The 20,106-nt window shown below is 52.6% G+C and overlaps 1 protein-coding gene and 1 pseudogene across 5 annotated transcripts, besides 5 other annotated features; one reads left to right on the top strand and one right to left on the bottom strand.

Annotated features, from left to right (window-relative positions):
• Positions 1 to 376: 376 nt before the first annotated feature.
• Positions 377 to 4,747, bottom strand: CDIPTOSP (CDIP transferase opposite strand, pseudogene; annotated as a pseudogene). Of its 2 annotated transcripts, none has more exons than NR_024370.1 (6): positions 4,700 to 4,747; positions 4,039 to 4,126; positions 3,555 to 3,702; positions 3,193 to 3,270; positions 2,988 to 3,074; positions 377 to 566 (listed from the first exon to the last, which is right to left on the bottom strand). The product of NR_024370.1 is annotated as a CDIP transferase opposite strand, pseudogene, transcript variant 2 (transcript). The 2 variants fall into 2 exon arrangements; NR_015396.1 differs by lacking the exon at positions 4,700 to 4,747 and adding an exon at positions 4,426 to 4,596.
• Positions 4,546 to 5,083: an enhancer, noted in NCBI's record as "H3K27ac-H3K4me1 hESC enhancer chr16:29874668-29875205 (GRCh37/hg19 assembly coordinates)". NCBI's record gives its function as "activates a minimal SCP1, AML or CMV promoter by ChIP-STARR-seq in naive H9 embryonic stem cells {active_cell/tissue: H9 hESC(naive)}" and the evidence as "EXISTENCE:reporter gene assay evidence [ECO:0000049][PMID:30033119]".
• Positions 5,132 to 5,191: a silencer, noted in NCBI's record as "silent region_7342". NCBI's record gives its function as "represses an Ori minimal core promoter by ATAC-STARR-seq in GM12878 lymphoblastoid cells {active_cell/tissue: GM12878}" and the evidence as "EXISTENCE:reporter gene assay evidence [ECO:0000049][PMID:35858748]".
• Positions 5,202 to 5,511: a silencer, noted in NCBI's record as "silent region_7341". NCBI's record gives its function as "represses an Ori minimal core promoter by ATAC-STARR-seq in GM12878 lymphoblastoid cells {active_cell/tissue: GM12878}" and the evidence as "EXISTENCE:reporter gene assay evidence [ECO:0000049][PMID:35858748]".
• CDIPT (CDP-diacylglycerol--inositol 3-phosphatidyltransferase) lies at positions 5,204 to 10,073 on the top strand. 3 transcript variants are annotated; one of them, NM_001286586.2, is made up of 6 exons: positions 5,204 to 5,615; positions 5,795 to 5,844; positions 7,171 to 7,324; positions 7,768 to 7,849; positions 8,907 to 8,988; positions 9,096 to 10,073. In NM_001286586.2, the coding sequence occupies exons 3-6, from the start codon at positions 7,188 to 7,190 to the stop codon at positions 9,239 to 9,241; spliced, it is 447 nt and encodes a 148-aa protein (NP_001273515.1). In that variant the 5' UTR covers positions 5,204 to 5,615; positions 5,795 to 5,844; positions 7,171 to 7,187; the 3' UTR covers positions 9,242 to 10,073. The 3 variants fall into 3 exon arrangements, with proteins under 3 accessions (NP_001273515.1, NP_006310.1, NP_001273514.1); NM_006319.5 differs by having other exon boundaries at positions 5,710 to 5,844; NM_001286585.2 differs by lacking the exon at positions 5,795 to 5,844.
• Positions 7,239 to 7,777: an enhancer, noted in NCBI's record as "H3K4me1 hESC enhancer chr16:29871974-29872512 (GRCh37/hg19 assembly coordinates)". NCBI's record gives its function as "activates a minimal SCP1, AML or CMV promoter by ChIP-STARR-seq in primed H9 embryonic stem cells {active_cell/tissue: H9 hESC(primed)}" and the evidence as "EXISTENCE:reporter gene assay evidence [ECO:0000049][PMID:30033119]".
• Positions 19,588 to 19,882: an enhancer, noted in NCBI's record as "tiled region #13449; HepG2 Activating DNase unmatched - State 12:CtcfO". NCBI's record gives its function as "activates a minimal TATA promoter and a strong SV40 promoter by Sharpr-MPRA in HepG2 cells {active_cell/tissue: HepG2}" and the evidence as "EXISTENCE:reporter gene assay evidence [ECO:0000049][PMID:27701403]".

Below are 20,106 nucleotides of genomic sequence, written 5' to 3'. Positions count from 1 at the left end.
CTCGTTCTGTCGCCCAGGCTGGAGTGCAGTGGTGCGATCTCAGCTCACTGCAACCTCCGCCTCCCAGGTTCAAGTGATTCTCCTGCCACAGCCTCCCTCCCGAGTAGCTCGGACTACAGGCACGTGCCACCATGCCCGGCTAATTTTTTGTATTTTTAGTACAGACAGGGTTTCACCGTGTTGGCCAGGATGGTCTTGATATCCTCAGCTCATGATCTGTGCTGGGATTACAGGCGTAAGCCACCGTGCCTGGCCACAAAAAAATTTTTTTAAAGACTAAACACTCCAATCGTATGCCCACATCCAGCACCCACATCTAGAAAAAAAAATAAAAGCCCCCCCGTCCTGCTTCTCTACCCCAGAGAAACCACACATGAGCAATGCACACCCTGTCTCTTTATTAAAGCACTTTCATTCCTGGTGGTATCCTTGCTGGCTGAGGCTGGAGGGTCCTGTGATGAATCCAGAACACTTTGAAGGCTTCGGGATGATGCTGCTCATGACCAGGAGGTCCCCACAAACGGAAGTGGTTAACGAGTGGCAAAAGAGTAGTTTTGAGGCATGTTCTAGGGACAAAAAGGGGGAGGCATGAGAAGCCAAGAGCATCAAAGAGGGGTGGGCTCATCTTCCAAACTGACTGTTAGGAAGAGCTCCATAAAAGAGACAGAGCCTTTTCACTCTTTAGACCCAAGGCTCATGTCTTTTTTATTTTTCTCGAGACAGGTCTCCCTCTGTCAGCCAGGCTAGAGTGCAGTGGTGTAATCATATCTTCCTGCAGCCTCAACCTGGGCTCCAATGATCCTCCCACCTCAGCCTCCCGAGTAGCTGGGACCACAGCTGTGCACCACCATACCCGGCTAATTTTTTAAACCTCTTGATAGCAGGAACTCTGTTTCGTTCACTGCAACACCCCAGCCCCTCGAGCAGTGCTGGCACATAGTAAGTGCTTAATTTTTATTTATTTAATTTTTTGGAGACAGAGTCTCGATCTGTGGCCCAGGCTGGAGTGCAGTGGTGCAATCTCAGCTCACTGCAACCTCCACCTCCCGGGTTCAATCAAGTCTCTGCCTCAGCTTCTCAAGTAGCTGGGATTACAGGTGCGTGACACAATGCCTGGCTTTTTTTTTTTTTTTTTTTTTTGAGAAAGAGTCTTGCTCTGCAGCCCAGGCTGGAGTGCAGTGGTGTGATCTCGGCTCACTGCAACCTCCAACTCCTGGGTTCAAGCGATTCTCCTGCCTCAGCCTCCTGAGTAGCTGGGATTAGAGGTGCATACCACCAACCCAGCTAATTTTTGTATTTTTAGTAGAGACAGGGTTTCCCCATGTTGGCCAGGCTGGTCTCAAACTCCTGACCTCAGGTGATCTGCCCGCCTGGGCCTCCCAAAGTGCTGAGATTACAGGTGTGAGCCACCGCGCCTGACCTAACGTTTGTATTTTTAGTTAAGACAAGGTTTCACTATGTTGGCCAGGCTGATCTTGAACTCCTGACCTCATGATCCACCCGCCTTGGCCTCCCAAAGTGCTGGGATTACAGGTATGAGCCACCGCACCCAGCTCCTCCTACTATTTCTTTCTTTCTTTTCTTTTTTTTAAATTTTTCTTTTTGAGACAGGGTCTTGCACTGTCACTCAGGCTGGAATGCGGTGGCATGAACATGGTTCACTGCAGCCTCAACCTCCTAGGCTCAAGTGATCCTCTGGCCTCCGCCTCTCAAGTAGCTGAGACCACAGGTTCGTGCCACCACACCTGGCTAATTTTTTTAACTTTTTATAGAGATGGGGTCTCTCTATGTTGCCCAGGCTATTCTTGAACTCCTGGGCTCAAGCGATCCTCCCACCTCCCAAGTAACTGGGATCACAGGCACATGCCATCATGCCTGGGGTATCACCATGTTGCCCAGGCTGGTCTCAAACTCCTGGACGCAAGCGATCCTCCTGCTTCAGCTTCCCAAAGTGCTGGGATTACAGGCATAAGCGACCACACCCAGCCAGGAAAGTGTGTAAGGCTCTAAACAAGGCACATAAAGTCTCTTGAGTCCCCTCTTACCTTGCCTGTAGACTCCAGCTGCTAAACTGCTTCTCCCTGCCCTAAATACACACAGATGCTCACACTGGCTCTGCGAAGACTGCTCTTTGCCTTTGTTCATGCAACCCCAACTGCTTGAAAGACTCCTACTAACCTCTTTTTTTTTTAACCTGGAAAATTATTTCTTTTTTTTTTTGAGATGGTCTCACTGTCGCCCAGGCTGGAGTGCAGTGGTATGATCTCAGCTCACTGCAACCTCTGTCACCATGTTGACCAGGCTGGTCTCAAACTCCTGCCCTGAAGTGATCAGCCCACCTCAGCCTCCCAAAAATGCTGGGATTACAGGTGTGAGCCACTGCACCTGGTGGAAAATTATTTCTTTAGGTGCTACCTCCTTCAAGAAGCTCCAAAGCCTGTAATCCCAACACTATGGGAGGCCAAGGAGGGCGGATCATGAGGTCAGGAGATCAAGACCATCCTGGCTAACACGGTGAAACCCCGTCTCTACTAAAAATACAAAAAAATTAGTCGGGTGTGGTGGCGGGTGCCTGTAGTCCCAGCTACTTGGGAGGCTGAGGCAGGAGAATGGCGTGAACCCAGGAGGTGGAGCTTGCAGTGAGCTGAGATCACACCACTGCACTCCAGCCTGGGCAACAGAGCAAGACTCCGTCTCAAAAAAAAAAAGAAGAAGCTCCATGGCTCCTGTCCTTCCTGTCCAATTGAAGCTGGGATAAGAGTACTATCCCACTGTGTCCATTTCTATTATGGAAACTTATCCAGACTGTATTATAATTGGCCATTTCCTTGTCTGTCCCCACACTGAACTGTGAACTCTTCAAGGGCTGAGACTGTACCATTCATTTCAGTGTCCCAAGCTCCTAAGACAGGGACCAACATATAGTGCAAACTCAAAAGGTTTGGTTAATATCGAATAGCCTTGGCAGCCATGGACCCTGCATGTACCTTTTCACCAGGAGTTGGCAGGAGGTATGCCTTGCTGCAGGTACGGTTTCTGTCCGAGCAGGAGATGGTGGAAGAGAGGGGAGAGGGCTGAGAATTCAGAATTTGAGGATCAGGGCAGAATAGAATGGAAGTGCACGGTTCAAAAATTCCCCCACCCTGCTGGGATATTGTGAAACCCTCACTCTCTCCCCTCCAGGTTCCTCACCTCTCTCCCAGGACAAAGAGCATCTCCCTTGAAGCCTCACTCACCAGGTGTCTGTGCCTCAGGTCTTGGTGAAGAATGCTGGAAGTAGAGGACCTAGTCAGAGAAAGGACTATCCCCGTGGCCAGAAGAGATGCGGCCAGGGCAGACGGGGCTAAGGGGATTCTCGGCCAGCAGTGAGGAGTGGGTACTGGGTTAGCGGGTGAGAGGGGCATTTCACAGGTCCTAGGGCTGGCTGTGAGATGGATGAGATGGGCACAGACTCCTGGAGAGTTCAGCTAGGGGTGGGAGGGGTCAGGGACTGTAACCAGGCATAGTGGGGGCAGCGGTTCTCTAGACACGGTGGTCCTGAGGCAGGGGGTTACCGCGTTTGGATATCTGAGTCGCTTGGTCTTGTGACTGCTTTTTTTTGATGGGCACAGGGTTCAAGTGGCAGCAAGCAGTGCACAAAGCCTCCTCCATGAGTTCTGCACTGATCTGGGACAGGTATTCCTCAGAACGAGATAACGAAGCCTGGGAAAGGAAAAGCCGGAGGGGTTCAGCCTGGGAGCTCCCACATGGGAGTGCTGGCTGTGGGAGTTCCCAGGCTGGGGCCTGTGGGTCCAAGGAGCTTGCTCCTGAAGGACTGGGCCTTGAGATTTAGCTAGAAAGCTCTGGACCTGGGGGAGGGGGGTTTGGTGGGGGTTTAGAGTCAGGGCCTAGTGCTGAGAGCTATGAGTCGGGGCTTCAGGACTCAGGGTTGAGGCTAGAGTCTCAGGGCCCGTGGCTCAGACCTGGCACGGGGTGCCTCTGCCTGGGAGGCTTTCACTTCATTACATTCCCACCTCTAGGGTTCCCTGCAGTGCTCACCGGACCTCCTCTCAAGGAGGGTGCAGCTTGAGATGGCCAGCTGCTCTTCTTCTCCCCCTCATTCCCCATCGGAGTGGACGCCATCCCCCTGGGAACAGTCGAAGCCTGAGTTGACCTGAGAAACCAGCCCGCTTTCCCCCAGAACCCAGTCCACCACCATTCCCCGGGCCCAGGTTTAAACAAGGCCTTTAGAGGAAACATCCCGCTGCCTCATTCCCTCTCACAAGAAAAAATAATAATAATAATAAAGGTTGCTTTATATCTTCGGGAGTGAGAGGGAACTCCCGCAACCCCCTACCCCTCACCCCTTCGCCTGGTGGGCCTCTCCTTCCTTCTTCCCTCCCAAGCACCTTCCCAAGCCGAGGCAGCCGACTTGACGCCCCAGACCTGGCAGATGGGTGGAAACCTTGGGCTACTCGGCAAAAGGAGAGACGTGGAGGCCTAAGGACCTCTGGTATAGGTCGTGGGGGATGGAGAATGGGAGATGGGGAGGAAGGCTGGAAAAGGGGGAGCCGGCTCCGTGTCGCTACCGGACGCTATAAAACCCTTGGAGTCTGCAGAGGTTCCGCAGCCTCGTTGCTAGGAGATCAGGGGTTCTAGAACTAAAGACAGAGGAATTTCCTAGCGCGCCCCGTTTGCTCCTCCAGCCTCCCCTCCGTACCCCTCCAGGTGCCTCCTTGAGGGCAGTGACCCCAAGCGCCAGACGCTTGAGAAGCTTGGGAGGATGACGTAGGGTGGAGCCTGCGACCTAATCCTCCCATCACAAGGGGCACGCGAAAAGCAACCCATCTGCAGGGCGCTCTGGAGCCTCTCTAGCCGCCTAGAGCCTGCGAGAGCAAAGGCGGCTGGAGACTTAGGGGGCGGGGAGTAAAGTGAGGACTGCACCAAATCTCCTGGCCTCTTGGGGACGCAAAGACTCAGGAGGAGGAATTTTATCGCCTTATCTTTGCCTCCAGGAAGTCATACCCTCCACAAAAGGAAAGCAGAGATTTTTATTCGGTCTTCTCTTTTACCCTTTCCTTTTCCGTTTCTAACTTTGCTTGACGTTAATGGTTCCTTCCTCCCTCTCCTCCTCTGCGCTTTGGTACGAGCCAAGGGAGAGGGGCGGAGGGAGGAAAAGGGAAAGGAAGCCGACAGGCCTTAAAGGGGCCGCAACTATTTTTTTAAGCCACTTTTTCCTCTCTCCAATTTTGCAACGACGGGCGCGGAGGAGGAGGTTCCCGGAAGCCACGCGCAGCTGGAGCAGCGGCGACCGCAGCTGGAGGCCCGGAGCGCCTGCGGGGCTGGCAGAGGCGAGGGAGGTTGCGGGTAGGAAGGGCGGACTGCGCGCGCCCCCTGCGTCCCGCGCACCTCGGGGCCGGTCCATGCTCCCGACGGCTGCGGGCTTCAGCATCTGGGGCCAGGTTGGGGCGGCGGGGTCCAGGGCGCAGGTGGTGCGGCCGATGCGCCGGGCCGGAGGCTGAGGCCGCGCTGCGGGGCTGGGACAGCACTGGCATCTCCAGAGCAGGCCCGGGGCAGCAAGGGAGGCGCCGCGATGCCAGACGAAAATATCTTCCTGTTCGTGCCCAACCTCATCGGTGAGTGCTGCCCACGGCCCCGGGCCGAACGAGAGGGCGAGGGGCCTTGGCGGGCTCCCTGATCCTGCCCTGTCTCCCCGCGTCCCGTTCCAAGGTTATGCCCGGATTGTCTTCGCCATCATTTCTTTCTACTTCATGCCCTGCTGCCCCCTCACGGCCTCCTCCTTCTACCTGCTCAGCGGCCTGCTGGACGCTTTCGATGGACACGCTGCTCGCGCTCTTAATCAAGGTGACAGACACCCCTCTCAGCCAGCCTTGGGGTTCAACAATCCCCTCCTCCCTTCCCCTGCCTCCTCGGGACCTCAGAGTCAGAGGGCTGTCATTCCCATCTCTGGAAAAAGCAGAACAGGATGGCCTGGGGCTTTTTGTTTTGTGTTTTGTTTTTTTGTTTTTGAGACAGGGTCTCGCTCTGTCACTTAGGCTGGAGTGCAGTGGCGCGATCATGGCTCACTGCAGCCCCCATCTTCTGGGCTCAAGTAATCCTCCCACCTCAGCCTCCTGACTAGCTGGGACTACAGGAGCGTGCCACCACACCCGGCTAATTTTTAAATTTTTGTAGAGACTGGGTCTTGCAGTGTCGCCCAGATTGGTCCCCAGCTCCTAGCCTCAAGCGATCCTCCTGCCTTGCTCCCAAAGTGCCGCGCCCAGCAAGAATGGACTGATTTTGTAGCAAAAGGAATTTAAGCTAGCTCTTGAGAACTCACTGCTTGTGAGAGGTGTGGATTAGCAAGACATGACATGGCGGTGGCGCTGCTGGAGGTCTCTCTGAATACAAGTCCATTCAGGCCAGGGGCGGTGGCTCACGCCTGTAATCCCAGCACTTTGGGAGGCCGAGGTGGGTGGATCACGAGTTCAGGAGTTCGAGACCAGCCTGGCCAACATGGTGAAACCCTGTCTCTACTAAAAATACAAAAATTAGCGGGCTTGGTGACGCGTGCCTGTAATCCCAGCTACTCGGGAGGCTAAGGCAGGAGAATTGCTTGAACCCGGGAGGCGGAGGTTGCAGTGAGCCAAGATTGCGCCATTGCACTCCAGCCTGGGCGACAGAGCAAGACTCTGTCTCGGAAAAAAAAAAACAAAAAACAAAAAACAGTGTATTCAACAGGTGTTTACTGGAGGCCTACTGTGTGCCCTGCATAAGCAGTTGGGGTTCCAGAAGGCATGCTTAGAGGGAGGATGGAGAGGGAAGGGTGATGGCTTCTGGAGGGTTGACTAATTTTTTAATCTGTTCTCCAGACCCAACTGTAAGGCTTCCCCTGAGGCATCAAGTCTCTATCTAGCCCTGGAGTCTTGGTTCTGGGGTTGATGAGTTGCAGACATAGCTTTCCTCTCCTCCTACCCTGTTCCCTCCACTCTCATGCCTTTCTCAGTTCATGCCATGGTGACCTTTGCCCACTGACCTCACACACAGCCTGTTTTCTAGCCTGCGTTCCTCCCCAGGCAGGCGGACACTTCCAGTCTTCGTTTACACCCTGCGTCAGAGTGATAAACCAAATATGGGCACCTGTCCTGCATCCACTGTGCCATAACAGCCCTTGCCCACCTAATCTTCCAGGAACCCGGTTTGGGGCCATGCTGGACATGCTGACGGACCGCTGCTCCACCATGTGCCTGTTGGTCAACCTGGCCCTGCTGTACCCTGGAGCCACGCTGTTCTTCCAAATCAGCATGAGTTTGGATGTGGCCAGTCACTGGCTGCACCTCCACAGGTCTGCTGCGATTCTGGGGGCCTGGGCCACTTGGAGACATTACAGTGGGGTGGGCTGAGCCTAGACGGAAGGGTGTCTGGGATGGCACTAGGCATCCTGGAAGGGCTCCTTTTTAGCTCTGCTTTGTAGAAAGACCCCAGGCAAACCTGCCTCTCTTTAAAGCTTCAGTCATGTTTACAGTTGCATTAAGCAATTCTTAGGACTCTTCTGGCTGGGTATTCTAGGATTCCATATAGGTGACAGCTTATAGGAAGGGGCATGGGAGCTTTCAAATGTGGCATTTGAATCCTGACTCTGCCCCCAAATAGGTAACTGTGGCTTTCGGCAGGATACTGGTCCTTAGCCGTGCCCAGTTTTCCATCTGTACAATAGGTGTTAACATGAGGATTGGATGCATGGTAGTGGTCATGAAACCTTGTGGGTTCCCCTGTTTTCTCCCCAAGTTCTGTGGTCCGAGGCAGTGAGAGTCACAAGATGATCGACTTGTCCGGGAATCCGGTGCTTCGGATCTACTACACCTCGAGGGTAAGCATTTCCTGCACACCCCACCCCTCAGGCTCTTGGCTGTGGGAAGCCCTGGGCTGAATCCTGGTCCTAGCCTAGGAGAAGGCGAGGGCGCAGAGCAGGGCCTGCCCAGTCACTCCAGGAGGAGGGCCCGTAAGCTGAGGCGTGGAGGAGGAGGATTGGTGGGGAAGGCCTGTGTGAATTACTCCAGGGAACAAGTGGGAATGAGGCCTGCAAAGAGAAGGGACTGAAAGCGGGAAGGGAGATAAGCCAGAGAGGTCTGCAGGGCTGGAGTGTGGACTTGATTCCAGGAACACAGGCAGCCTCTGGAAGGATTTTTAAAAAGATAATGGCTGGGCATGGTGGCTCATGCCTGTAATCCCAGCGCTTTGGGAGGCTGAGGTGGGAGGATTGCTTGAGGCCAGGAGTTTGAGACCAGCCTGGGCAACAAAGTGAGACTCTGTTTCCACACACACACAAAATCTTGAATTAGCTTAGCCAGGCACAGTGGTACACGCCTGTAGTCTCTACTTAGGAGGCTAAGGTGGAAGGATTGCGTGAGACCAAGGGTTTATTTATTTATTTATTTATTTTTTTGAGACAGAGTCCTGCTCTGTCACCCAGGCTGGAGTTCAGTGGCGGGTTATCGGCTCACTGCAACCTCTGCCTGCTGGGTTCAAGCGATTCTTGTGCCTCAGCCTCCTGAGTGGCTGGGACTACCGGCACGTGCCACCACACTCGGCTAATTTTTGTATTGTTAGTAGAGAGGGGTTTCGCCACGTTGGCCAGGCTGGTCCCAAACTCCTGACCTCAGGTGATCCGCCTGTCTCAGCCTCCCAAAGTGCTGGGACTCCAGGCATGAGCCACACGCCTGGCTGAGACCAGGAGTTTTGAGGCTGCAGTGCTATGATCATACTACTGCATTCCAACCTGGATGAGAGAGCGAGACCCTGTCTGTAAAAAAGAAAAAAAAATAAGAGAAGTAATATGCCGAGATTGTGCCTTCATTAGTGCTGGGGGGGCAGGGGGTGGCACACGCCTGCCTCTTGCTAACGTGGCCTGTTTGCTGTGTGTGCAGCCTGCTCTGTTCACCTTGTGTGCTGGGAATGAGCTCTTCTACTGCCTCCTCTACCTGTTCCATTTCTCTGAGGGACCTTTAGGTAGGAGATGAGGGGCTGGGCAGGAGGATGGGAGGGGGATCTGGCCTGCCCAGGGAGATGGAGGCCCCCTCCTTCGGGCCCCAAACTCCCCTGCTGCCTTCCTGCAGTTGGCTCTGTGGGACTGTTCCGGATGGGCCTCTGGGTCACTGCCCCCATCGCCTTGCTGAAGTCGCTCATCAGCGTCATCCACCTGATCACGGCCGCCCGCAACATGGCTGCCCTGGACGCAGCAGACCGCGCCAAGAAGAAGTGACGCTGGAGCCCCGGGTCCTGGCTGCCCACCTGCCCTGGGAGTCTTGCTGTGCCACACAGCTCCCCACCCCCTGCTAGGAGGTCCCAGTCTCACGCCTTCCTCATGTGTTGTTCTACCTGCTGGGATGGGGGTCAGCCTCTCTTTGGTGACGTCACGTTCTCTGGGATCCTGAGGACCCGGGCCTCAAATCAGGGAGGATACGCGGGAGGCCCCCTCCATCCAGGCGGTGCTCCTGGGGTGCCGGGACCGGGCAGTGTCACACCCTGCCTGCTCAGTCCTGGGGTCCGAGATGCTAGGGACGCTTGAGTGAGGGAGGTGGTGTGAGGGCCAGGTTTCCTGAAAGGCGGGAGTCAGACCTCCGCCCCCAGCCAGAGCAAGCTTGGGGCACCATGCCCAGGAGGGAAGAAGCCATCCACAGCCTTCCCTGTCACCGGCTCCTCTGTCCTGCCTACCCTGGTCCTGGCGGGACTTCACTATTTGACTTGGTTTCCTTTCAGATATTCTTGGCTCAGGGCCTGGGTTGAGGGAGCTTAGGGAAGGACGTCCGTCTGGGTGCTTTTCCTCCAGTTTGCTGGCTGGCTTCTCCGTCTACCCACAGTGACCTCACAGAGAGGCCCTCCTGCCACCCATGCTCATGTGGTGTCCCCACCGCCCACTTGTTTGATGTCACTGACTGTCTACATGTATTTATATTCTTGATATTTTCTACCCTCACTAGAATGTAAACTCCATGAAGGCACAGACTTTTCTTGTTCTCTTCTCTATCCCTAGAGTAAGACCAACTTGAACCTGGCATATAGTAGCTGCTTAATAAATACTCGTCTGTCAATGAGTTGGTTTCTCAGAGTGTGGTCCTTAGACCACCTGTGGTATATTTCTATTTCTCTTTTTTGCTTTTCTTTCTTTTTTTTTTTTTTTTTTTTTAGAGACAGAGTCCTACTCTGTCGTCCAAGCTGGAGTGCAGTGGTGCAATCATAGCTCACTGCAGCCCCAAACTCCTGACCTCAAGTGATCCTCCCACCTTAGCCTCTCAAAGTGCTGGGATTACAGGCATGAGCCACAAAGCCTGGCTGGATATTTCTTTAAAATGCAAATTCAAGCCAGGTGTGGTGGCTCATGCCTGTAATCCCAGCATTTTGGAAGGCCAAGGTTGGGTGGATTTAGTACAGGAGTTCGAGGCCAGCCTGACCAACATGGTGAAACCCCATCTCTACAAAAAATAACAAAAATAGCCAAATGTGGTGGCACATGCCTGTGGTCCCAGCTACTCAGGAGGCTGAGGTGGGAGGATGGCTTGAGCCTGGGAGGCAGGAGGGAGAGGTTGCAGTGATCCGTAATGGTGCCACTCCAGCCTGGGAGGCAGAGCCAGGCAGTCTCAAAAAAAAAAAAAAGCAACTTTGGCCCGTCTTGGAGGCTCACGCCTGGCCTGTAATCCCAGCACTTTGGGAGGCTGAGGTGGGAAGATCACTTGAGTCCAGGAGTTCAAGACCAGCCTGGGTCACATGGCAGGACCCCGTCTCTACAAAAAAAAAAATACAAAAATTAGCCAAGTGTGGTGGTGTGTGCCTTAGTCCCAGCTACTGGGGAGGCTGCAGTGAAAGGATTGAATGAGCCTGGGAAGTCAAGGCTGCAGTGAGTCATGATCATGCTACTGTACTCCGGCCTGGACGACAAAACAAGATGTCTCAAAAAATAAAATAAATGCAACTTCTTGGACCCTGCAGCCAACCTTCAGAGTTAGAAGCTCTAGGGATGGGCTCAGAAACCTGCAACTTGAATGCCGGGGAATTCTTCCAGTAATGTTGAGAAACACTGTTCCCTCTTTTTATGGGCTCCTATCATATACTAGGCACTGTTCTGGGCATCTATCCCCTGCCATCTGTGGTTTTTAAACTACTGTACCGCATGCCAGACTCTGTGCTGCGGGTTCTTTGCAGATGTTACTCATTCTATCTGCATGATAGCTTAGCCAAGTGGCCCAAGAGGCCCCCGTGTCCAGGAGAGCAGAAATTTACCAGACATGTACTGAGCCTCAACTCCTGTGCTAGGCCCAGGGGATTCACTGGGTACTGGGCAGCTGGCTTCCTCTACAATAACATAGGAAAGTGCTCGTTGGGGGTGGGAGTAGAAGACACCTAGGACCTGATTTAGGGTTTGGTGAAGGGGCTGGGTATCCCATGTAGAAGGCTGGTAGGGATTGGAGAGGAAAGGGTTAGTGCAGAGGAGATTGGTTCTTAGCTGAGGGAATGGCATGGGAAGGCAGGGAGGCCAGAGAGGCCCCTGGGCTCTGCACCTCTTTCTCCTTCCTGTCAGCTCTTCTTCCGGCATGGTGGGTCCTCTGAGCACTCTCCAGCCCCAGAGCACGGAGCCCTTGGTCGGCCTGGGTCCCACATCCCTGACTGGCTCCTGGGCTCCTTGGTTCTAACCATTTACAGTGACAACAGAAATTGGAACAGATCTAGGCCGGGCACAGTGGCTCACACCTGTAATCCCAGAACTCTGGGATCCACCCAAGGGGGTGGATCATTTGAGGTCAGGAGTTAAAGACTAGCCTGGCCAACATGGTGAAACCCCATCTCTACAAAAAATACAAAAATTAGCCAGGTGTGGTGGTGCACGCCTGTAGTCCCAGCTACGCAGGAAGCTGAGGTGGGAGAATTGCTTGAACCCAGGAGGTGGAGGTTGCAGTAAGCCAAGATCATGCCACTGTACTCTAGCCCAGTGACAGAGCGAGACTCCGTCTAAAAAAAAAAAAAAAAAATTGTGCACAAAGCAGGTGTGTTTCAAGCGCATCAGGCACCCCTACCATCCCTGCCAACCTGGCCTGCTCCAGTCAAGGTGGGGAAAAAAAAAAGAAACAGATCTAGGTCACAGGGCCTGGAGCACCAAGTGCTCCAGGGAGGTTGGGGGAGTGGGGGTTGGGGGCTGGGAGAGCTGGTGAGAGGCGACGCAGAAGCCAGCTGGGGCGGCCTAGGAGCCCAGAGGACTTTTTAAAATTTTACTGTGGAGACAGGGTCTCTCTCTGTCACCTGGGCTGGAGTGCAGTGGCATGATCATAGCTCACTGCAGCCTCGACCTCTCAGGCTCAAGCAGTCCTCCTGCCTCAGCCTGCTGAACAGCTGGGACTACAGGCATGCACCACCATGCCCGGCTAATTTTTATGTTTTTCTGTAGAGATGGGGGTATCACTGTGTTGCACAGGTTGGTCTCAAACTCCTGGCCTCAAGTGATCCTCCTGCTTTGGCTTCTCAAAGCGCTAGAATTACAGGTGTGAGCCACTGTGTCTAGCCCATTTCCATATCTTAACATTCATTTTATGTATGTGCTGTTCTGCTAACACAAGCTACCCTGCTCTAAGTGCTATTTGCGTGCATTATCTTATCTCACAATTGTACAGTTGCACACAATACGACAGCCCTGTTACTGTTCTCATTCCCCAGAGAGGAAACAGGCCCCGAGAGGTGGCAGCCTGGCCAGTCTGGTTCCAGAGCCTGTACCTGAACACTTAATTGTACGCAGTACTTTCACGCCAGCGGGCTTCTGAATGGTTGCATAGAACGCCAGGCGTGGTGGCAGGCGCCTGTAATCCCAGCTACTCGGGAGGCTGAGGCAGGAGGATCGCTTGAACCCGGGAGGCAGAGGTTGCAGTGAGCTGAGATCGCACCACTGCACTCCAGCCTAGGTGACAGAGTGAGACTCTGTCTCAAAAAAAAATTCAGTTTAACCTGGTCCTACCACTGTGAATGGTGCTGCGGTAAATCATCTCGCGCTTTTTGGGGGACACGTATAGGATGAACGTTGAGGGGCTTAAAGCAGGACAGTGGCAGGGACAGACCTGTGCTTGAAGAAGCTATTGGTGCACAAAACTGAGGTGCGGTGGGTGTGGTGGCTCACGCCTGTAATCCCAGCACTTTGGGAGGCCAAGGTGGGCAGATCACGAGGTCAGGAGATAGAGACCACCCTGGCTAACACGGTGAAACCCTGTCTCTACTAAAAATTACCTGGGTGTGGTGGCACGCGCCTACTGTAGTTCCAGCTACTCGGGAGGCTGAGACAGGAAAATCGCCTGAACCTGGGAGGCAGAGGTTGCAGTGAACCAAGATTGTGCTACTGCACTCCAGCCTGGCGACAGATGAGTCTCCGTCTCAAAAGAACAAAAAACAAAAAACTGAGGTGCGTTTCCAGCTGTGGGCACCCCACTACCTGGCCTGCTGCAGTCAAGGTAGGAGACTGGGTCAGGGGCTGTCCCTGTGCCTGCCCTGCAGCCCTTTCTCCTTCCTGTTGGCTCTTCCTCCAGCCTGGTGGGTCCTCTCTCTCCAGCCCCAGAGGACAGAGCCCTTGGCCTGCCTGACTCCCATGTCCCTGGCTGGCTCCTAGGCTCCTTGGCTCTAACCATTTACAGTGACATCAGAAGGCTGACTGTGTAAATCCAGCTACATTGAGTTGTTTTGTTTTGAGACAAGGTCTCACTCTGTCACCCAGGTTGCAGTGCAGTAGCTCCATCTCGACTCATCACAACATCTGCCTCCTGGGCTCAAGTGATCCTCCAGCCTCAGCCTCTTGAGTAGCTGGGACTACAGGCGGCACCACCACCCCCAGCACACTATTTTTGTATTTTTTTGTAGAGATGGGGTATCCTTATGTTGCCCAGGTTGGTCTTGAATTCCTGGGCTCAAGTGATCCTCCCACCTCAACCTCCCAAAGTGCTGCAATTACAGGCATGAACCACCATGCCTGGCCATATGTGATTTTTTTTTTTTTTTTGAGACAGAAGTTTCACTCTTTAGCCCAGGCTGGAGTAAAGTGGTGCAATCTCGGCTCACTACAATCTCTGCCCCTGGGGTTCAAGCAATTCTCCTTCCTCAGCCTCCTGAGTAGCTGGGATTACAGGCACCCGCCACCGCGCCCGGCTAATTTAGTATTTTTAGTAGAGATGGGGTTTCTCCATGTTGGCCAGGCTGGTCTCGAACTCCTGACTTCAGGTAATCCACCCGCCTCGGCCTCCTAAAGTGGTGGGATTGTAGGCGTGAGCCATTGCACCTGGCCATATGTGATCTTAAAAAAGAGAGTTGAGGAGGAGAGTGTGAGCACGGGCAGTCTAAAAGAATCTGCACCCGAGCATCCTGAGGCTTGTAGGGTAGCACTGAAGACTCACAGGAGGGCTTCTAAGTCCCCTTGGCCTACAGGGACGTGGCTCGCAGTCAGACTGGTGCCGGCGTTCCATGTCCAGTGGCTGGCCTGGGCTCAGGAAGAACCTGCAGAGCCCTTGATCTGGAGGTGGGGAGTGGGGAAAGGCTGAGCTGACCTGGGCCCTGGAGTATCTATATTTGATCTAGGGAACATAGTGGAGTCACGTTATATGTGCAGTAATAGCCTTCTGGAATCAGCTATATGCCTTCAGAATAAATGAATGATCACCACGCCACTGTGTAAGAAGTTTCATTTGTTTGTTCCACTCAATGACTGCGCCTCGGAGGGCAGGAGATCAGTACCTGTACATTTGCTGTTCCTCTAGGCAGTCTCAGTCTTCAAGGCTCTCCTTCTGTGATTAAAAATAACCCTAACTACTGTAACAAACTTCAAGATGTGTAGTGCCTCAAACATGATAGTTTATTTCTAGACTGGTTGTGGTGGCACATGCCTGTAATCCCAGCACTTTGGGAGGCTGAAACAGGAGGATTACTTGAGGTCAGGAGCTTGAGACTAGCCTGGGTAACATAGCAAGTCCCCATTGCTACAAAAGAGTTAAAGAGTTGGCCAGGCGTGGTGGCTCACACCTATAATCCCAGCATTTTGGGAGGCTGAGGTGGGGGATCACCTGAGGTCAGGAGTTCGAGACCAGCCTGGCCAACATGGTGAAACCTCATTTCTACAAAAAATACAAAAATTAACTGGGTGTGGTGGTGCACGCCTGTAGTCCCAGCTACTCGGGAGGCTGAGGCAGGAGAATCACTTGAACCAGGAGGCGGAAGTTGCAGTGAGCCGAGACCGTGCCACTGCACTCCAGCCTGGAGGCAGAGCAAGACTCTGTCTCAAAAAAAAAAAAAAAAAAGAAAGAACATTATTTTATTTCTAACTCATATTAAATCTTAATCAGATGCTGCCGACTGGGAGACAGCTCTCCTGCAAGCGGCGATTCAGGAATTCGGGCATCTCCTGTTCTGTGATTCTGCCATTTTCAACACGTGGCTCCTGGGACTGCCCAGCTTGTTTGCATCATGTAGGCAGATGATGTGTATGGAGGTTGCAGGAGCCAAGTTTTTATGGAAAGACAGGAAATTAGCACTTATTACTTCCACTTCCATTCCATTGGCTACAACTCGGTCACACGGCAGTGTCTGAGGACAAGGGAAGCTGGGACACAGATTAGTTGTGGGCGTAAGTGGAAGAGGAAACTGATTCGGTAAACAGCATCTTACCATGCTGAATGTGTTCGCTGTTGAAAGACACAGATTTTTCTTATAAAGGGGGTCCTTCAACACATCAATTACTTTGGTATTCAACCAAAGAAAAGCCATTTGTTCTAGTGCTAGAGAAAAACAGGCTGTGTTGAACTTCTTCAGAGATCACACTGTTCTCTATGTATGTTTTTGAGACAGGGTCTCACTCTGTTGCCCAGGCTGGAGTACAGTGATGCCGTCATAGCTCACTGCAGCCTCAAATTCCTGAGCTCAAGTGATCCTCCTACTTCAGCCTCCTGAGTAGCTGGGACTACAGGCACATGCCACCACACCTAGCTAATTTAATCTAAAAACACTTTTTTTGGATTAGACATAGGCCTAATTTTTAAGATATAAAAAACTAGGGCCAGGCGCTGTGGCTCATGCCTGTAACCCCAGCACTTTGGGAGGCCAAGGCGGGCAGATCACCTGAGGTCAGGAGTTCAAGACCAGCCTGGCCAACATGGTGAAACCTCATCTCTACTAAAAATACAAAAATTACCTGGGTGTGGCGGCAGGCACCTGTAATCCCAGCTACCTGGGAGGCTGAGGCAGGAGAATCGCTTGAACCCAGGAAGCAGAGGTTGCAGTGAGCCGGGATTGTGCCATTGCACTCCAGCCTGGGCAACAGTAGCAAAACTCTGTCTCAAAAAATACAAAAATTAGCCAGGCGTGGTGGCACACGCCTGTAATTCTCGCTACTCAGGAGGCTGAGGTAGGAGAATTGCTCGAACCTGGGAAGCAGAGGTTGCAGTGAGCCGAGATCATGCCACTGCACTCCAGCCTGGGCGACAAAGCGAGACTCTGTCTAAAAAGAAAAAAAAATTCAATGTATATTTCAGGCTTCTTTCAGTAAACAGGTTGCTTGGGGCAACCCTAAGCCCCAGGGATGAAATTCAAAATATTTAACCACCAAGCCAGAGCAAGACCCTGTCTCAAAAAAAAAAAAAAAAAAAAATTTGAGGTTAAACCTAATAATTAAAATTTTAAAAATGTAAAGTTAAAAAAAAATTAATCTAATTTTTTTTTTTTTTTTTTTTTTTGGAGACAGAAGCTCACTGTATTTCCAGCAAGTCCTGTCTTCCCCACTCTATGGCCTGTGCTGGGCCCCTCTTCGTGCATATAATTTTTTTTTTTTTTTTTTAAGATGGAGTTTTGCCCTCTCCCAGGCTGGAGTGCAGTAGCACGATCTCGGCAGACTGCAGCCTCCACCTCCGGGGTTCAAACGATTCTCCTGCCTCAGCCTCCTGAGTAGCTGGAATTACAGACGTGTGCCACCACGCCTAGTTTTTTTTGTGTTTTTTTTTTTTTTTTTGTATTTTTAGTAGAGACGGGGTTTCACCATGTTGGCCAGGCTGGTCTTGAACTCCCAACCTCAGGTGATCCACCCACCTCGGCCTCCCAAAGTGCTGGGATAACAGGCGTGAGCCACTGCACCTGGCCCCTTGCATACAATTTAGAGGAGTTTCCCCTATGACCTATGAGATCTTACAATCCTGTGAGGCACACAAAGTAGTCAGGATAGGCTAGGTTATACTGTGGTAACAAAACCCCCCAAATCTCCGTTGCTTAATACAGCAAACATTTCTCACTCCTGCCACATGTCTGTTGCAGGTCAGCTGTGGCTGCACCTCATGCCATTTTCTCCCTGGGACCCAGGTGGTTGGAGCAGCTTCCACTTGGAACATTGCTGGTCACCCATTTATATGGAAAAGGGAAGAACAGGCATGTGATGTCATTTCCCCTTGCATTTCATTGGCAAGAGCCAAAGCCTGATCACCAATTGAGGTCCACGTGGAGACATCAAGGCATGGATTGGAAATGAGTCCAGAGCTCTTGGGTGAGGTCGGAGCTGGAGTAATGGATTCTGAGGTCAGTGGTATAGAGACCATCTGAGGTCATGCGATTGGACAAGAATGTCAGCATGAGAAGTGGGCCTTAGGGAACCTACTGAGAGAAGCGAGAAAGAAAACTAGAACAGGTGATGTCAGGAAAGCCCAGCATGGGAGGAATGGCCAACTGTGCCAAGTGACCGATCAACTACTGGATTTAGCAACGGGACATTACTGGTGATGCCGAATAAAGCAGTTTCCATAAAGTAAGGGGCAGAGACAGAAGCAAACTGGGGTGTTTTTTTGAGTCGGAGTTTTGCTTTTGTTGCCCAGGCTGGAGTACAATGGCGCAATCTCGCTCACTACAACCTCTGCCTCCCAGGTTCAAGCGATTCTCCTCCGTCAGCCTGCCGAGTAGCTGGGATTACAGGCACCCACCACCACACCTGGCTCACTTTTGTATTTTTAGTAGAGACAGGGTTTCACCATGTCGGCCAGGCTGGTCTTGAACTCCCGACCTCAGGTGATCTACCCACCTCGGCCTCCCAAAGTGCTGGGATTACAGGCGTGAGCCACCACGTTTGGCCCTATCTGGAGTGGTTTGAAGAGATAATGAGAGATGAGGAATGGAAAGTGAGACCACAGAGAACTCTGGAAAAATTTGGCTGTGATGGAAAAAGGAGAGGTGGAAGTTAGAGGGGCTCATAGGGTTAAGGGAGTTGTTTTATATGGACAGAGTAGACATGTCTATATCCTGATGATGATGATGCAGGAGAGAAGAAATTGATGGCATATCAGCTGGGTACAGTGGCTCACACCTGTTATCCCAGCCCTTTGGGGGGCCAAGGCAGGCAGATCATGAGGTCAGGGGTTCATGATCAGTCTGGACAAGATGGCAAAACCCCATGTCTACCAAAAATACAAAAATTAGCAGGGCATGGTGGTGCATGACTGTAGTCCCAGCAACTCGGGAGGCTGAGGCAGGAGAATCACTTGAATCCAGGAGGCAGAGGTTGCAGTGAGCTGAGATCACGCCACTGCACTCCAACCTGGGTGACAGAGCGAGACTCAGTCTCAAGAAAAAAAAAAAAAAGAAAAAAAAATTGACAGCACAGGAGAGGACGGCAATCAGTGAAGGAATGCAGCCCTCTCTCCTAGAGCCCAAGGGGAGGAGCCCAGGGTGGGAAGAGGAGGGAGGACAGTCTAGATGCCAGCAGTTTGTTAGGTTTGTTGCTGGGAAGGGCCTTCCTACCCAATTTGCTTCTATTTTCTCAAAGAGGTGAGAGAAAGTGGGCAGGGGTGTAGGAGGCTGAGAGGAGAGGTGGTGTGAATGGTTGTCTCAAAGCGGATCGCACACAAGACAGAGCAGCACAGCCAGAGAAGCTGCACCTCCCTCAAAATTTGTTCCCATGAGTTTAAAATAAGATCAGTCAGCTCCGTGGGGTGTTCCTCCTGCAGCAACGGTCAGGGGCAGGGCAGAGAGGGAGGGAGGTGGTTTAAGGGGGGATCGGGCTTTTTCCACTCAATATTACAGGAAGGTGAAAATGAGGGCTTTAGGGAGGCTTTAAGGGTTTTGTTTGTTTTGTTTTTTTTTATAGAGACAGGGTCTCCCTCTGTCACCCAGGCTGGACTGCAGTGGTATGATCATAGCTCACTGCTGCCTCCAACTTCTGGGCTTAGGCAATCCTCTCACCTTAGCCCCCCGAGTAGCTGGGAACACGGATGCATGCCATAACATCTGGCTTTTGCTTTTTTTTTTTTTTTTTTGGTAGAGATGGGGGTCTTGCTATGTTGCCCAGGCTGGTCTCGAACTCCTAGTCTCAAGTGATCCTTGTGCCTTGGCCTCCCAAGGTGCTGGGGTTACAGGCCTAAGCTCTTGCACTCGGCCCCTGGGATCTTTTTACTTCCTCGGCAGAGACGGGGCAGGCCTGGCACCTACAACTGTTCCTGGCCCCAAAGGGCTAGTGCACCCAGGCTGACTGCACCTGGATCCTTCTCTCAAATGAGGACCCCATACTGGTTGTGGGGGAGAAGGTGGGATAAGGGCACTCCTCCTTCAGTGCTCCCAAACAGCCCAGACCGGAAGCTCAAGGAGATGCCCAATTCCTACTGCCCTAGGCAGGGTCCTCCTCCCCAACCTGACACCCCCACCTGGGAAGGGACAAGCGCACAGCACCGGGTGCAAGCCTGACACGTCTGCTGGTGCTGTGGGTGCTCCAGCAGGTGGCGCTGGAGGGCGCCTCCCGAATGGGAAGCTGGGTTGCATCTGCAACAGCTGAGAGCTACCAGGCAGCTGGGCTCCTGGAGAACCAGTGGTGAGATGTTGCCATTGTGGGCCCCATGCCCCCACCCGTGGCATCATCACCCCTATCTGGGCTCTAGGAAGCCCAGTGCACAAGGCTTTGGGGCCACATTCCTACTGGGTGACTTCCAGCTCATCCTTCCCCTGCCTCGGGGTCCTCTCCCCTTTATGGAGGAGAAGAGTCTCCTGTAACTATCTAAAGATGTTGACCGGGCACAGTGGCTCACACCTGTAATCCCAGCACTTTGGGAGGCCGAGGCAGGTAGATCACCTGAGGTTGGGAGTTCGAGA

This window comes from Homo sapiens, chromosome 16, assembly GCF_000001405.40.
Source record: "Homo sapiens chromosome 16, GRCh38.p14 Primary Assembly".
In the NCBI taxonomy this organism is placed as follows: domain Eukaryota; kingdom Metazoa; phylum Chordata; class Mammalia; order Primates; family Hominidae; genus Homo; species Homo sapiens.
The sequence above is the reverse complement of the archived record's forward strand: the minus strand, read 5'-3'. Positions and strand labels throughout refer to the sequence as shown.

Coding starts and splice junctions, on each gene's coding strand:
- CDIPT (NM_006319.5), top strand. CDS start 5,573: ATGCCAGACGAAAATATCTTCCTGTTCGTGCCCAACCTCATCG. Junction 7,850..8,906: donor GGATCTACTACACCTCGAGG/GTAAGCATTTCC, acceptor CTGTGTGTGCAG/CCTGCTCTGTTCACCTTGTG. Junction 8,989..9,095: donor TTTCTCTGAGGGACCTTTAG/GTAGGAGATGAG, acceptor GCCTTCCTGCAG/TTGGCTCTGTGGGACTGTTC.